The 15,554-nt window shown below is 38.5% G+C and overlaps 1 annotated feature.

The window, feature by feature from the left end:
* Positions 571-1,146: an enhancer, noted in NCBI's record as "OCT4-NANOG hESC enhancer chr14:43133320-43133895 (GRCh37/hg19 assembly coordinates)". NCBI's record gives its function as "activates a minimal SCP1, AML or CMV promoter by ChIP-STARR-seq in naive H9 embryonic stem cells {active_cell/tissue: H9 hESC(naive)}" and the evidence as "EXISTENCE:reporter gene assay evidence [ECO:0000049][PMID:30033119]".

The raw sequence follows: 15,554 nt of genomic DNA, 5'->3' as shown, positions 1-15,554 counted from the left end.
CTTGTCATGTGGTTCTTTCATCTTTGAAGCTAGCAACAAAGAATCTCACTCCTGTCAAATTCTTATCTTACAGATAATCCTACTCACTTTCAATGCTCACCTGGATAGGTCAGGACCACCAAGGTAATCCCCATTTTAATTAACTGAAAGTCAACTAATTAGTGACATAGTTAGAGGAATGATTCCTAACTAGGAATCTCTGTTACACTACAGGGCCAAGTTATTTTTGTGGCTTTTGAAACACTTTGTCCACATGCATAGGGCCTCACTCTACGACCCTTTTAGGACCTTACCTACTTGTTTGTTTGTTTGTTTGTTTGTTTTGAGTTAGCATCCTTTTGGAGGAGGGAAAATTCTTCCTTTGCCATTTGTGAGCCCTTATCCCAAGTCCCAAGTCCTCCAAAGGTTCCTCCTTTACAACAAGAGGGCAAATAAATGTTGACCTTTTGAATACAAGGGCTGCTATTTTTGTGAGCATGTAAAGGATTTCCCTTGGTATCCATATTGCTTCCTCTAACTTCCTCCTGTAGCAGAGGGATTTACCTGTTTGCTTAAGCATTTGTTCTGCATATTATCCCTGGAGGATGAAGAACCCCAAATACAAATTTTCCTTCATTTCTTTAATCATTTCCATGCCCTTCTCAATAAACATCAAGACTTTCAAGGTCATATGCAAAGGGAGGGAAGTCAAGCCCCCTTGCAGCAGTTGGCTGAAAAAAGAGGCTTCTTGTCTACTTAAAAAACACAGGAATCTGGAAAAAGACATAATCCTTTTGTTGTTGAATGTTCTGAGAGTCACTATAAGGTCATGAAGACAATGATATAGGCTGGCCCAACGCTGCAGGAACAAAAGATAAAAGTCCCCTTAGGACAGAGACAAAAGCTGGCCCCAGGACATATTAACATTAGAACAGAGATAAAGGCAAGGTCAGGGGTAAGACCATTTTATTTCAGAACTCCAAGGATGAATAGGATGTCCCCTATTTACTCTGGTATCTCCTCTGTTCTCAAGTGGGTAATCATGACAAGATGGGACCAAGGATAAGGGTATGCAGTAAGACTGTTTATTCCAGAACCCTAAGGACAAATGGGGTGTGCCCTATTCAGTAAACGATAATAGAAAAATAAGATGGGATGCCTTCTTTTTCTTTTTTTCCTCCTCTGTTCTCTCTTTACAGATGGGAAATCACACATCCATGCTGCGGAATACACCCCTCGGATACATCCTCAACAACTGGAAGAAGTTTGGCCCCAAAACTCTAATATGAAAAGGGCTAATATTTTTTCTGTAATGCATGCTGGGTTGAATATAAGCTCTGGAACCAGGAATCTTGGCTAGAAAATGGAAGAATAACTTTTAATACAATCTATCAACTAGATTGCTTTGTCTCCAGAAAGAAAAATTGACAGAAATTCCCCATCTACAGACCTTCATGGCCTGAAGAGACAACCCTGACCTTTTTCAGGCTTGCAAAATGGATCCAGCAATGGTAGAAACCATGGTCAGGCAGCTTCTTTGGTTGGCTCAGGAAACCTCTTATTGGGTTTACCCAAAGTTCAAGCCCTGGAGGAACAAAGAGCACAGCCAAACCCAAACCCCACTGTTCCTTCTATCCCATTATTTCTAAGTATCTGAGCCCTAGACCCTTCCCCTCTGTACCCAGGACCATCCTCTATACCACTCCCTTAAGTTATGCCCCCTTCAAGAGGTTAGTGACCCCAGTGGACCCACTAGAGTCCAGACCTATTCATTATGCAAAACCTGAGCCAAACTAAAATGGAACTAGGGAAGTTTATGAAAGTCACTGACAAGTACATCAAAGGGTTCTGTAAACTGGCCTGCACATTTGAACTCGTCTGGAGGGATATCTCAGTCATACTAGAGAAGCCTCCATGTAAAGGAGAATGTGACTCCATTATGGAGGTGGCTCAATAATTTGTAAATGCAATGCATATGACTAACCTTGGTGGCTACCCTGTAGGGGGCCATCACGGTTCCCCAGGTTGACCCAGTTGTGATCACAATACTGAGGGGGTATATGGAGAAGGAACCACATGTTCCTGTGTTTGGTAGAAGAAATGAAAGCTAGAAGAGCAAAGCCTGTGAATTATAATAAATTGGTCTTAATAGATCAAGCCCCTCTTGAAAACCCCACCACTTTCCTAGAGACGCTACAAGAGGCCCTAGTGAAGCATACCAAACTAAACCCAGAGAAACCAGAATGGAAATTGATCCTAAAGAACCATTTCCTAACTCAGGAATCCCCAGGTATTTTGGGGATTCCAAAACCTAGCACTGGGCCCCAACACTCTTATGCCTGAAATCCCCAAAATAGCTTCCTCAGTCTTTTACAACCAGGACCAGGAGAAAAAGCAAAGAAGTCAGAGAAAGGAAAGGTGGAAAGAAAAGCAGCATCTCTAAATATTGGCTGCCTTATAAGTCCACCAGCCCCTCCAGGTTGCCCTCAGAATTCCCTCCTAGGTAACTGCCATTATTTCTCTCCCCAGTGAACTGCCCCTTTTCATATACACCAAAGAAGAAATAGACTGGGGCACCCAACATGGGTGTAAAGAAAAAAAATCAATGATTGGTGCAATTTAGGAGAACTCCTCCATCTACCTTAAAGTCTCCCAATAGAAAGTCATCAGGAGTTACAAGACTACTACCATCTTGGAAAGAAGAGTCCAGGACAAATTTGTAAATGGGTATTCAGTGGGAAGTGACTGAACAAAACCATTCAACAGATTTGTCAAGCCTACATGTTATGAACCATAAATAATCCCCAGAGAGGGAACCCCTCTCACTAATAAGTCCAATTCAAAGGACAGATACAAAAGCTTAGGAGACCTGGCAGATGAACTTTACCCAGCTCCCTGAATGCTGCAGGTTTAAGTACTTCTTTGTCTGTGTATATACCTTCACAGAATGGGTAGCAGCCCACCCCACAAGGGCTGAAAAGACACAGGAGGTAACTAAATGCCTCCTAAAGGAACTTATTCCCTTCTTTGGGTTCCCCAGGTCATTGCAGAATGACAATGGTCCACCCTTCATTTCCCAAGTAACTCAATAGGTTAATAGTGCTCTAGGTATAAAGTAGTACCTTCACTCTTCCTCGAGACACCATCTTCAGGAAAAATGGAAAGAACTTACCAAACCTCAAATGCACCCTTAATAAACTCTGTTAGGAAACAGCATAGCCATGGGTGGATCTCCCTCACATCCATATTGCCCCTAAGGCTCCCTTGCAATTAAGCCCCTTCAAGGCCCTATATAGCAAGGCATTTCTAAAGTTGGACTTACTACTTGTATTAGTCTATTCTTGCACTGATATAAAGGACTACCTAAGACTGTGTAATTTATGAAGAAAAGAGGTTTATTTGATTCATAGTTATACAGGCTTAACAGGAAGCATCACTGAGAGGTCTCAGGAAACTTACAATCATGGCAGAAGGTGAAGGGGAAGCAGTCATTTTCTTTACATGGCAGCAGGAGAGAGAGAGACAGAGAGAGAGAGAGAGAGACAGAGAATACCACACACTTGTAAATCATAGATCTCTTGAGAACTCACTTATTATCATGAGAACAGCAAGGGGGATATCTTCCCTCATGATCCAATTGCCTTCCACCAGATCCCCCTCCTCCAATTCAACATGAGATTTGGGTGGGGACACAAATCCAAGCCATATTATTCTGCCTCTGGCCCCTCTCAAATCTGATGTCCTTCTCACATTGCAAAATGCAATTGTCCCTTTCTAACAGTCCCCCAGTCCTTAACTAAAAAGCCCACAGTCCAAAGTCTCATCTGGAAAAAGGTAAGTCCCTTCCACTTATGAGCCTGTAAAATCAAAAACAAGTTAGTTTCTCCAAGATACAAAGGGTTACAGACATTAGGTAAATGCTCCCATTCCAAAAGGGAGAAATTGGTCAAAACAAAGGGGCAACAGACCCCATGCAAGTCTGAAACCCAGCAGGGCACTAATTAAATCTTAAAGCTCCCAAACAATCTCCTTTGATTTCATGTCTTACATCCAGGGCATGAGGATGTAAGATCTGGGGTCCCAAGGTCTTGGGCAGCTCCACCCCTGTGGCTCTGCAGAGTACAGCCCTTGCAGGTGTTTCATGGGTTGGCACTGAGTGCTTGAGGCTTTTCCAGGAGCACTGTGCAAGCTGTTGGTGAATCTACCATTCTGAGGTCTGGAGGACAGTGGGCCTCTTTTCACAGCGCCACTAGGCAGTGCCCCAATGGGGACTCTGTGTGGGGGCTCCAACAGCCCATTTCCCCTCTGCACTGCCCCAGTAGAGGTTTTTGATGAGGGATCTGCCCCCACAGCAGACTTCTGCCTGGAAATTCAGGCATTTCCATACATCCTCTGAAATCTAGGCAGAGGCTTCCAAGCCTCAACTCTTGCCATCTGCAGTCCTGCAGGTTTAACACCACATGGAAGCCATCAAGGCATGGGGCTTGCACCCTCTGAAGCAACATCCCAACCTGTTCCTTGGCCCCTTTTAGCCATGGCTAGAGCTGGAGTGGCTAGGATACAGTTTGCCATATCCTGAGGCTGCACAGAGCAGTGGGGCCCTGGGCCCAGACCAGGAATCCTAGGCCTCCAGGCCTGTGATGGGAGGGACTGCCACAAAAGTCTCCAACATGCTCTGGAGACATTTTCTATATTGTCTTGGCTATTAACATTCAGCTTCTTTTTCCTTATGCAAATTTCTGCAGCTGGCTTGATTTTTTCCCTAGAAAATGGGTTTTTCTTTTCTACACAGCTCACTTTTGTTCGTAACTGTCATTTATTTATTTATTTATTTATTTATTTATTTATTTATTTATTTATTGATGGAGTCTCTCTGTCGCCCAGGCTGGAGTGCAGTGGCGCAATCTCAGCTCACTGCAAGCTCTGCCTCCTGGGTTCACGCCATTCTCCTACCTCAGCCTCCCAAGTATCTGGGACTACAGGTGCCTACCACCACGCCCGGCTAATTTTTTGTATTTTTAGTAGAGACAGGGTTTCACCGTGCTAGCCAGGATGGTCTCAAACTCCTGACCTCATGATCTGCCTGCCTTGGCCTCCCAAAGTGCTGGGATTACAGGCATGAGCCACCACACTTGGCCTTTTTTTTTTTTTTTTGAGATGGAGTCTTGCTTTGTCACCCAGGCTGGAGTGCAGTGGCAGGATCTCTGCTCACTGCAAACTCCACCTCCTGGGTTCATGCAATTCTCCTGCCTCAGCCTCCCGAGTAGCTAAGATTACAGGCATGCATCACAATGCCAGGCTAATTTTTGTATTTTTTGTAGAGACAAGGTTTCACTATGTTGGCCCGGTTGGTCTCAAACTCCTGACCTCAAGTGATCCACCCACCTTGGCCTCCTAAAGTGCTGGGATTACAGGCTAGGCTGCAAATTTTCCAAACTTTTATGCTTTGCTACGCTTTTAAATATAAATTCCAGTTTCAGGTTATCTCTTTGTTCATGCATGTGAGTGTACATGTTTTGAAACAGCCAGGTTACATTTTGAATGTTTTACTGCTTAGAAATTTCTTCCACGAGGTACCATAAATACTATCTCTCAAGTTCAATGTTCCACAGATCTCTAGGGCAAGGGCAAAATGCTGCTAGTCTCTTTGCTAAAGCATAGCAAGAGTGACCTTTATTCCAGTTCCCAATAAGTTTCTCATCTCCATGTGAGACCATCTTAGCTTGGACTTCATTGTCCATATCACTATCAACATTTTGGTTAAAACCATTCAATGGGTCCCTCAGAAGTTCCAAATTTCCTCATAGTTTCCTGTCTTCTTTTAATCCCTCCAAACTGTTTCAACCTCTGCCCATTACTCAGTTCCAAAATCGCTTCCACATTTTTAGGTATCTTTATAGCAGTAGCCCCCTTCTGGTACTAATTTTCTGTATTAGCCCATTCTTGCACTGCTATAAAGAACTACTCAAGACTTGGTAATTTGTGATAAAAAAGATATTTAGTTGATTCAAAGTTCTGCAGGCTTAACAAGAAGCGTGACTTGGAGGCCTCAGGAAACTTGCATTCATTACAGAAAATGAAAGAGAAAAATCAAGCACTTCACATGGTGCTTGAGAAAGGGTGAAGGGAAAAGTGTCACACACTTTTAAAGCATCAGATCTTGTGAGAACTCACTTACTCTCATATGAACAGCAAGGTGGAAATCCACTACCATGATCTAATCACCTTCCATAAGGCCCCTCCTCCAATTCAACATGAGATTTGGGTGGGGATACAAATCCAAACCATATTATTACTAAATGAAGAAACTGCCAGTATTACCCAGTATGTCCCTTATTTAGTAAACTTTCAATAGGCTCCCAAGTAATCCCAATGGGTTACAAACAAACCCAAAATCCAAAGGGGAAAAATCCCCACATGTATATCCTCCAGGCTCATTAGTTTTTATAAAGCTTGGAAGGATGGAACCCGAAATTCCCAACTAACTCCAGTCTGGAAAGACCCCCTTCACTGTTCCATCATGTACCTTCATAGACATTAAGTACTAGAGATTTCCAACTAGATACATCACACTGGGATAAGGCCATGGAAAGGCCCTGAAACACCAGCGTCAGAATCAGCACCTTCAGCTCCATAATACACTTGTGAGGCACTGGACAATCTGGAATCCTTTATAAATGAAAAGATAAGTAATGCTCCCTTAACATCTTTTTACTTCAATGTAAAGTGGTCCTAGTATTTGAAATTTTACTCACAGTTGCTCTGATTGTTATCACTATTTTAACCCTAACTTGTACACCATCAGAAGTTCCAGAGTCAGCTTACTTTGTGACCAGTTTCTCTTTTCATAATCACCTTAGGTTGCCACGGACCTGCTCCTGCTGGTTCTCATTCTCACCCCTTTATTAGTAGCACACCACCATCCTGATTTTCTGTTACTGGAAAAAGCTCAGCAATTGCTCCAAAGCACAGGATCCGCTTACTCCACCAATTGCTGATTATATATTAGCTCTTCTGTTAAAACACCAAGGATAGCTTATATAGCCTTGCCCCAAGATAGGACAAGCATAGAGGTGGAATTACATATTTTTTTAATCAATGGGACCACAATCTGAAAAGGATATTCAGGGCTTCTTGCAAAAGAAAAGCAATATTTCCCTGATATCTGCAAGGAAACTCTCATTTTCAAACCCACTTTTGTAATATCACTTTAATGGGAATAGCCCCTATTTGTGTTACAGTCAAAAGAAAAAATGGAATGAATGTAGGTGCTCTTCCCAGTACAGTTTGTAATGTGACTCTTGCTGTAGATCCTAACCAACAGACTTACCAAACATTCACCCACAACTAATTCCATCATTAACCAAGATTCCCAAACCTCTGAATATTACCTTTCCTTGGGGAACTTTGCTAGATAAATCCACCCAGTTTTGCCAAGGACACCCAAGCTCATGTCGTACTGAGAATTTCTGGTTCCAGCCTGCTGATTATAACCAATGTTGGCAAATTGTCAACCTCAGCTATATAGCATTTTTACTAAAGACAAATCATGGTAGGACTGGTTGTCTTTATTATAATTGGCCTAATTGTTGTATACAGTGTAGCAAGAATAATTATTTTTTACATAGACTTTTAAATAGGCTTTAGTGGAACTTTGTTCCATGGGAGGGATCTCAGATAAGACTTCTTTAAAGCTGAGCCCAGCCATGGGTTTGTGCCATCAAATACCTATGAGTTGGGTGAATTTCCTTTCCTCTTGAGGTTCTAAGATAAACCTGGGGCTTTTGTGCCTGTGAGAAAGTGACATTCTTTATTTAGCACAGGTCAGCCCTTGGAAAAACTAGCCTCCTATTTTGTGTACACAGACCCTGTGCAGGGTTTCTGACTTAATTTTCTAAACAAGAAGCTCTAATAAAAACAGGATAAAGCCAATTACACTTGTTTTTTCAGAATTTTGTAAACAATGTATAAATTTTAATCTTAATTATAAAATATAACTTCTGTAAGCCTTTTATAACCTTTATTAAGGAATTGGTTAATGCTTCAAGAAAACCTTGTTATTCTGACATAGGGGTCCACATACTGGTTTTGCATCAGTGTGCCTTTGACATTAATGATTAATTTCTAGAGAAACTGAACTTATTTCATTTTTCAAAATCAGCCCTTACAATATTATGCCTCCACCTCTTCCACGATAGACTCTGGACCTTGTGTGTTGAATAGTTTCAATTTCTTGCCTTGTGTCTCAGGAATACAGTTTATTTTGATTGGCATCTTCTATGGGGCCTGAAGATGAGTCTTTAATTGCTGTCAGTGTTTAAGATTTAGCGGATTTGATGTCCTTTTTTAGACTCAGGAGTTAAAAGCCCTGTAACCCAATGTTACAAGGGCTTTCATATCTAGGAAGACACATGGATGTAATAACCTTAATATAAAAAATTATCTCAGTTTTATTTTCCTAAGCAAACCGAAACTTAATAGTAATATGGCAACTTGATTATATAAAAAATTTCGTTTATTTTTATATATATATACATATACATATATATATATACACACATCCTCTTATTGAGACTTATATTGACTGTTCATGACATAGTTGGACTTTCTGATTTGTTCTGAACATCCCTGTTTTTTTAAAACAAAGTTATTTTATCTTAGAACTAAATTTACCATACAAGATTTTTTAAAATATAAATTTCTCTTTAAGCTTTTTTACCTCAAACAAAAAAAAAACTTCTTTATTTTTATAACTTTCTTTACATCTTTTTTTTCTGGTTCCTTTTACTTTGTTTTACACATAACCTTTAAACAAGTTTTGAATTAGAACTTGTTCACCTTTTATTTTTTAGCAAGAATGTTTCCCTACAATATATATTTTTTGAAAAAATACCAAAATAATGAAATATCTATTATTTGACTAACATACTTCATATTCTAAATTATGACCAGTTTGTCTACAAGTATTTATCCCATTACATTTGCATAATTATTTTATTTTAATTGTTTACCTGGATTATTTATGAAAACTGTGATAGTCATGATTTAAAGTTATAAAACTGGCATTGCAAAACTATAACTGAGACAGTGAAAAAAAATTTGACCTAAGTTCAAGATGCAGCTATTTTCATCAAATCCATATTAATGTTTTATTTATTAAAAATTACACAAAAAAGATCACTCTGTTTTGGGCTGGGTTTATAATTTTGTAAACCCTATGCCAAATTTTGACACCATATAGTATTTGGCAGGGATAAGTATGAAATTGCTTGATTAATAAACACAAACAAAAATGCATGCTGGCAATTATTAAGACTTTCTAATATTACCTTACCAATAATTTTAAAGCTAGCTTATTTATTGAAGATTTTACTTAAGTTACATAAACTTGAAAAAGCATTTCACTAGTCTTTTTTTAAGTATCTGATTTAAGCACTTTTGTTTTTCTTTAAGCCAATGAATTAAAGCTCTTTTATATATTTTAATAGTGAAATATTTTGTACACAACACATAAATGCATATAAAGTCATATTAGACATGCCGATGGAAGTACATTTTATAGATTTATAAAGAACCCCCCCTCCTTTCTTTTCCTATCTTAGACTTTCAGAGTCTTGATAACCTGTTTGACAAACCTAAGCAGTGGACAGCTAAATAGCCTTAGATCTGCACATCAAAGAAAATAACTCAGGTGAAAATCAGAGAGAAAAAGTGGCGGTGCTAGAGGGAGATGCTTTTATTTTCCTTTGAGCCAAATTAAACTTAAAATTAAACTACTCTTCCTTAAAAAACCCAAGAGCAGCCTCTGCTGCAATAACTATTTTAGTCAAAAAATCAGGCGAAAACAGAATTCGGTCAACTAAGAAGAAAAAACAAAACAAAACAAAACCTTTGCTCAAAAAAACAAAACAAAACAAAAAAACACACAAAACCCGCAAGGTTTTAGTAGAGAAAAACAAACAAAAACATAAAGGCCTTTTAATTAAACTGACTTTTAACCACTGAACTCCTTTAAAAAATTTTTTTCTTATTACCATATTTCAGCTAGGACAAAATGCTGCTATTTCAGACATACAGCCATTGCTCTTTCAGTTTGTTCTGGCAGGCAAACAGTTGGCCTTGTTACGTAAATAAAGCCCCTTTAGTAGTTAACATTAAAAATAATTTCTTTTATTTTCTTTTCCTCTTCCTGGCCTTTCCCTCCCACTTCAGAGGCATTGTTCACCGTAATTTAGGTTTCCCCTTTGGATTTAACCAAGACAGAAAAAAATAACAACAAAACAGTTAAGCAAAACTAACAGTGATCAAACAAATTACCCTATTTCTGAGTGCTCTAAGTGTAAGCACAAATTAACATCAGCTGATTTTAATGCTAATTTTAGTCATTTAAGAGAATTTGCAAGACACAATCCCAAATCAGTTTTTTTATCTAGTGATGGGGACCAAGCTGGAGACCACTCTCTGCCAATGCAGAAGCAGATGAACTCACCTTCCTTGATGGAAGCGAGTGGCAAAACTCCCACAAAAAGTAGTGGTGTTTTTTTTTTGTTTTTTTGTTTTGTTTTGTTTTACAGCAGATAAACCTCAGACCCCCAACTAAAAAACGTTGGAAGATCAGGGATCCCTAGAGGAAAGAGGTCCCAGACTTCGGCAAATTTTCCTGTTCGTTTGGGCTGTAAGGTTCTCAAAAAAAGGCCTTTATGTTTTTGTTTTTCTCTCCTAAAACCTTGTGGGTTTGTTTGTTTGTTTGTTTGTTTGAGTACCAAGCAGCAAGAGGTGAACTGCTGCAGGCCGGGTCACTTTTACTCAGGATCCCTCCATGGTTACCAGATCTCAGTTGAGGAAACTAATGAGACAAGTCTCAATCACCTTAGGAGATTTATTTGCCAAAGTTAAGGATGTGCCCGGAAGACAGGTCTATTCCTTTCTCTGAAGATGACTTTGAGGGCTCCAAATTTAAAGGGGAAAGGGTGGGATATTGAAAAGCATACAGTTTTTACATAAAAGGGGTAGAGGAAAAATGTGGGGAATCTTCATTTTACATAAGATAACACAGACAAAATGGGGTAGGAGAACAATCAGTTATACATGTGTGTCTGGCTGGCTGGCTGGGGTGATTGCACCTGTAAAGATAAGATATCAATTTGCATTGGCCATGGTGAAGTTTTAACAACTCAGCAGGAATTTCCTTGTGGGCAAAATACGGGGGAGGCAGGTAGCTTTTTATCTTGTAGCCATGCTATTTAGGAATCAAAAGGGGGAGGCAGGTTTGCGTGATCCAGTTCCCAACCGGACTTTTCTCTTTGGCTAAATGAGTTTGGGGTCCCAAAATTTAATTTCCTTTTACATGGGAAATGTTCTTAAAGCTAATGCAGTCTAGAGAGCCCCCATGTCTGTCATCCCTCGTTGATATCAGTAAGCTACGGCATCTCATGGGTTGATTTGCGGGGAGTTTCTTTCTTCACCCACCAGGAATGGTTAGGACACTCTTGTTTCCAATGGCCTTATTGCTTACAATTTGTATACTGCGGTGGCCCCAAGGGCAAAGAGTCCTTTGGCCAAATGGTGGGGTGTGGGGGGTCTTATCCAAAGATTTTTTTTTCCTCCAGAATATGCTTTCCTGTGATCTGATTGTATATGAGAGCAGTGGCATTCAGAGCACCCTGTTGTCTAATGTCACATTATTTTGGCTCTTCCTGGGCTTGATCACTGTTACTAAACACTTTAAAGGCAATCTCAGTCATAGTCATTGAGACATCAACATTCCCAATCCCTCTTCTACTCTTTGTCTCTTTATCTTCTTATATCCGGGGCACTCTGATTGATGAAAGTCATATTAACAAGTCTCATGTTATCTGGGTGTTCTGAGTCTGTATCAGCATATTGCCTGTAAGCTTCAAAGATTCTCTCAAGAGTTCAGGCTTTTTAGCTTTGGGATCCCCTTCGCAATCCAAGTTACTGAACACTCCTTGTAATAATTTAACTTTATCTGGTCTCTGGGGTCATTGGGGTCCCAGTCTGGCTCAGTCCTGGGTATGGCTTGCACAGCTAGTGTCCTAGCTCGATTTTTGTGTGTGTGTGTGTGTGTGTGTGTGTGTGTGTGTGTGTGATTCTTATAGCCTTTTGGCTCCCTGTTGAGTTTTCTAGAACCATTCTACATTCCTCTGGAGTGAGGAAGGTATTTCTGAGAGCCTGAATGTCAAACTACATGGTGTATGAATAGCAAGGATGGATGTAAATAAAATTTCCATCATTTTGTAATCATCCAGGTAGGCAGGCATGTTATTTTTCCAATTATATATATTAAAAGTTGAAAAGGGGGAATGAACATCTAAGAATTCAGTGGGCCACCACTGATAATCAAGATCTGTAGGAACTTGTCTTAGCAAGAATTACCCTGTCTGTTAAGGAGCATTCCCCAGGCCGAATTGGGTACCCTGTGCATGTGTGGAGGTATGTGGAAGGCATACAATTTCTGCCTAACTGGTAGGTAAGCAGTTGGGGGTAGGGAGGTACAAAACTGAGCCACTGCCTTCAGGATAATCATTGTGTCCTTCCGGATCACTTTTAATAGCACCACTGGCATACCATGGAGGCACTGTAGGAGACAGCAAAAGAGGAAAGATAATATCATCATCTGATTCGCATTCTAAAAAGACAACTTTTCTCTGTGGATTCCCTCTTTGAACCATACGAATTTACATCTCTTTTGTAAATTATTATTTTTGTATAAGGTATTTTGGTACAATAATTCTTATTTTTTTTATAAAAAATTGTACATAGGGATCTTGGCCCATTTCTTTTATCTTTTACAGAACAATTCTAATTGGAGAAGAGTAGAATAGTTTAGGGTCCCTATCTTAGGCCATTTTTTTCTCTGATTCTAGCAAATATCGAGGTCAAACACTATTACAAAAGAAAATCATCCCAGCCTAGGCAACATGGTAAGATCCGAAGAGCTGGGACTATTAAAGTTAAGAGATGATTAGGCCAGGAGATATCTGCCCTTATGAATGGATTAATGCCATGATCATGGAATTGGGTTTGCTATAAAAGGGGAGTTGTCTGCCTTTTTTTTCTGTCTCCATCTTTTCCTCTGTTTACCCTCTGGCATTTGATGCCTTTTGCCACATTATGAGGCAGTAAGTAAGAAGGCCTGTTCACAAGTGCTTTGCCCCTCAATCTTGAAATTTCCAGACTCCAGAACCGAAAGGAAATAAACGTCTATTATTTATAATTACCCAGTCTCCAGTATTCTGTTATAGTAGCACAAAATGAACTAAGACAAATAGTGAAAGACTGTAAGGGATACTGTTCAAGCCCACCATATATCCTTGTGGCCTGAAAATTTGTGTTAATCCTCTGTAGACACTTCATATATGCTCAAGCACTACTCTCTCAGCCTCTCTGCCTGAGAAATTTCTCAAGGTCATAAGAAAAAAATTCAAAAATGTTAGCAATTAAATGAGATTGGATGAATACATATTTAAGCTTTCTCACTCTTCAGTGGGACAATACTGAGATACATTGTACCCAGTTCCTCAGAGGATTCCCAGTTGCCCACAGTGGTATCTTGAGTCCAAACCCTTATTGTTGCCCCACTCCCAAATCCTCTCTGGGATTACTTCCAAATAAATTATCTCCATCCAAATATTTTCCTCAGATCTGTTTGGAGTGGGAGTGAAGAAATTCAAACTAAGGCACAGAAAAACAGTATATAAAGAACTTCAACATTTTTTTTTAATTGTGGTTCTTCTGCCTGGAAGATATTTCCTCTGGATGTTTACATGGTTTGTACCCTCTCCTCTTCAAGCCTTTGCTCAAATATCTTCTTCAGTGTGTGTTTCCCTGACCATCCTATTTCAAATGTTGGCATCCACCCACAACAAGCACTCCTTCTCATTCTTTAATAATTTAAGTTTTCTGGAGAACACATTAGCATATTATTTAAGATAAAAGTTGATTTTAGGACATCTTTCTTGGGAGAAAGGTTCAGGCAGGGATTGAGATGTGGAAGGCAACAGCTGTAGGACTGTGTAGGCAAGATGAGCAAAGTACTAGTGATTTCTAAGATATAAGCATTCTATATCAGAAAAGATTTTACATAATAAAAACAATGAAAAATATAATTTACATATAAATATCTCTGTAGGAAAGAAAAAATAAACACTTACCTAAGCATTTTAATGTTAGCCAATATAAATTGATATTACAACCTAAACTTCAAACTGATTTCTAATGCTTCTATTAAAAATATATCTTGCTTCTCTGTAGTCTTACTAAAAAAAAATTTCATTTAATTTCTGTCACTATGGAATAAATTTAGAGCAACATACAGCTAAAATAAATTTTCAACAACTGTTGCCATTGAAGACAGGATACCTTCAATGCTTATCCATTTTTAAGACCTCTTCCCAATTGCTTTTGAAGATAAGCCTGCTGTGAATAGCCTCCCCTTAATGCCTCTTTCTAGAATATCAAAATATAATTCTCTATAGATGTTTTTACTTCAGATATGCACATTGAATAAAAACTGGCTTTTGATTGTACTTCAGAAGATTAAATTCATCATATAAATGTAAGCATTAAGCCTTAGGAAATAAACTCATAGCTAAATTTCCAGAGTTTCTGGTGAATTAAAGGTAGATTTGGAAGAAAAATTTTAGTATGAAATGTGAATAATGATAAAAATTTTAAACATTAGTCCAAAAGTATCCAAAATTTTAAACTGTACCAAATCAAATAAAGGGTAGTTGATTTTTCTATAATAGCCACTGCAAAACAGAAAATAAGTGAGTATAACTTTTTATATGTATAAATTTTTATATACCCAGCTTTTTCTCTCTATATATGTGTATGTGTGTATGCACACATACACATAATATATAAGTCAGGTTCCCCAGACAAAAAGAACATATAGATAAGAAGTGTACGTAAATTTTATCCAGAAAGGATAAAATTTTATTATTTTAGAACTGTCACAAATAGTAACTTACAAACCTAAAATTACCACGTATATCTAAATGAGTGAAATGATTTTGCCTTGTAATATCACAATACATTTATATTTTGCAATCTTCTTTCAACATTTTGATATTTCTTATATTTAATGGTTTTTACAAATTTCAGCATGCCATATCTTTTTTTGAACTTGGACTCTAAATTTATAAGTCAGAGATCTCAAGAGAAACAGAATATATATATACGTATACGTATATATATACGTATATATATACGTATACGTATATATATACGTATATATATACGTATACGTATATATATACACGTATATATATGTGTGTGTGTGTAGTATCACTATTTAGATAACTTACAGAGTATCTTCTCTAATATATCACTAGTAGGATTAAGTTAGAAACCAATAACAGAAGGAAAACTGGAAAACTCTCAAATATTTGGAAAGTAAACAAGTTTTTAAACAGCAGATCAAAGAAGAAATCACAGGGAAATTAGGGATTAGAGACAAATAAAAAGTAAAACCCAACATACCAAACTTATGAACACAGTGAAAGAAGAGCCACATGGTAACTTTGTATTTATGAATGCTTGCATTAAAA

Source organism: Homo sapiens, chromosome 14 (assembly GCF_000001405.40).
Source record: "Homo sapiens chromosome 14, GRCh38.p14 Primary Assembly".
In the NCBI taxonomy this organism is placed as follows: Eukaryota; Metazoa; Chordata; class Mammalia; order Primates; family Hominidae; genus Homo; species Homo sapiens.
This window is presented reverse-complemented; position numbering and strand designations above follow the sequence as displayed.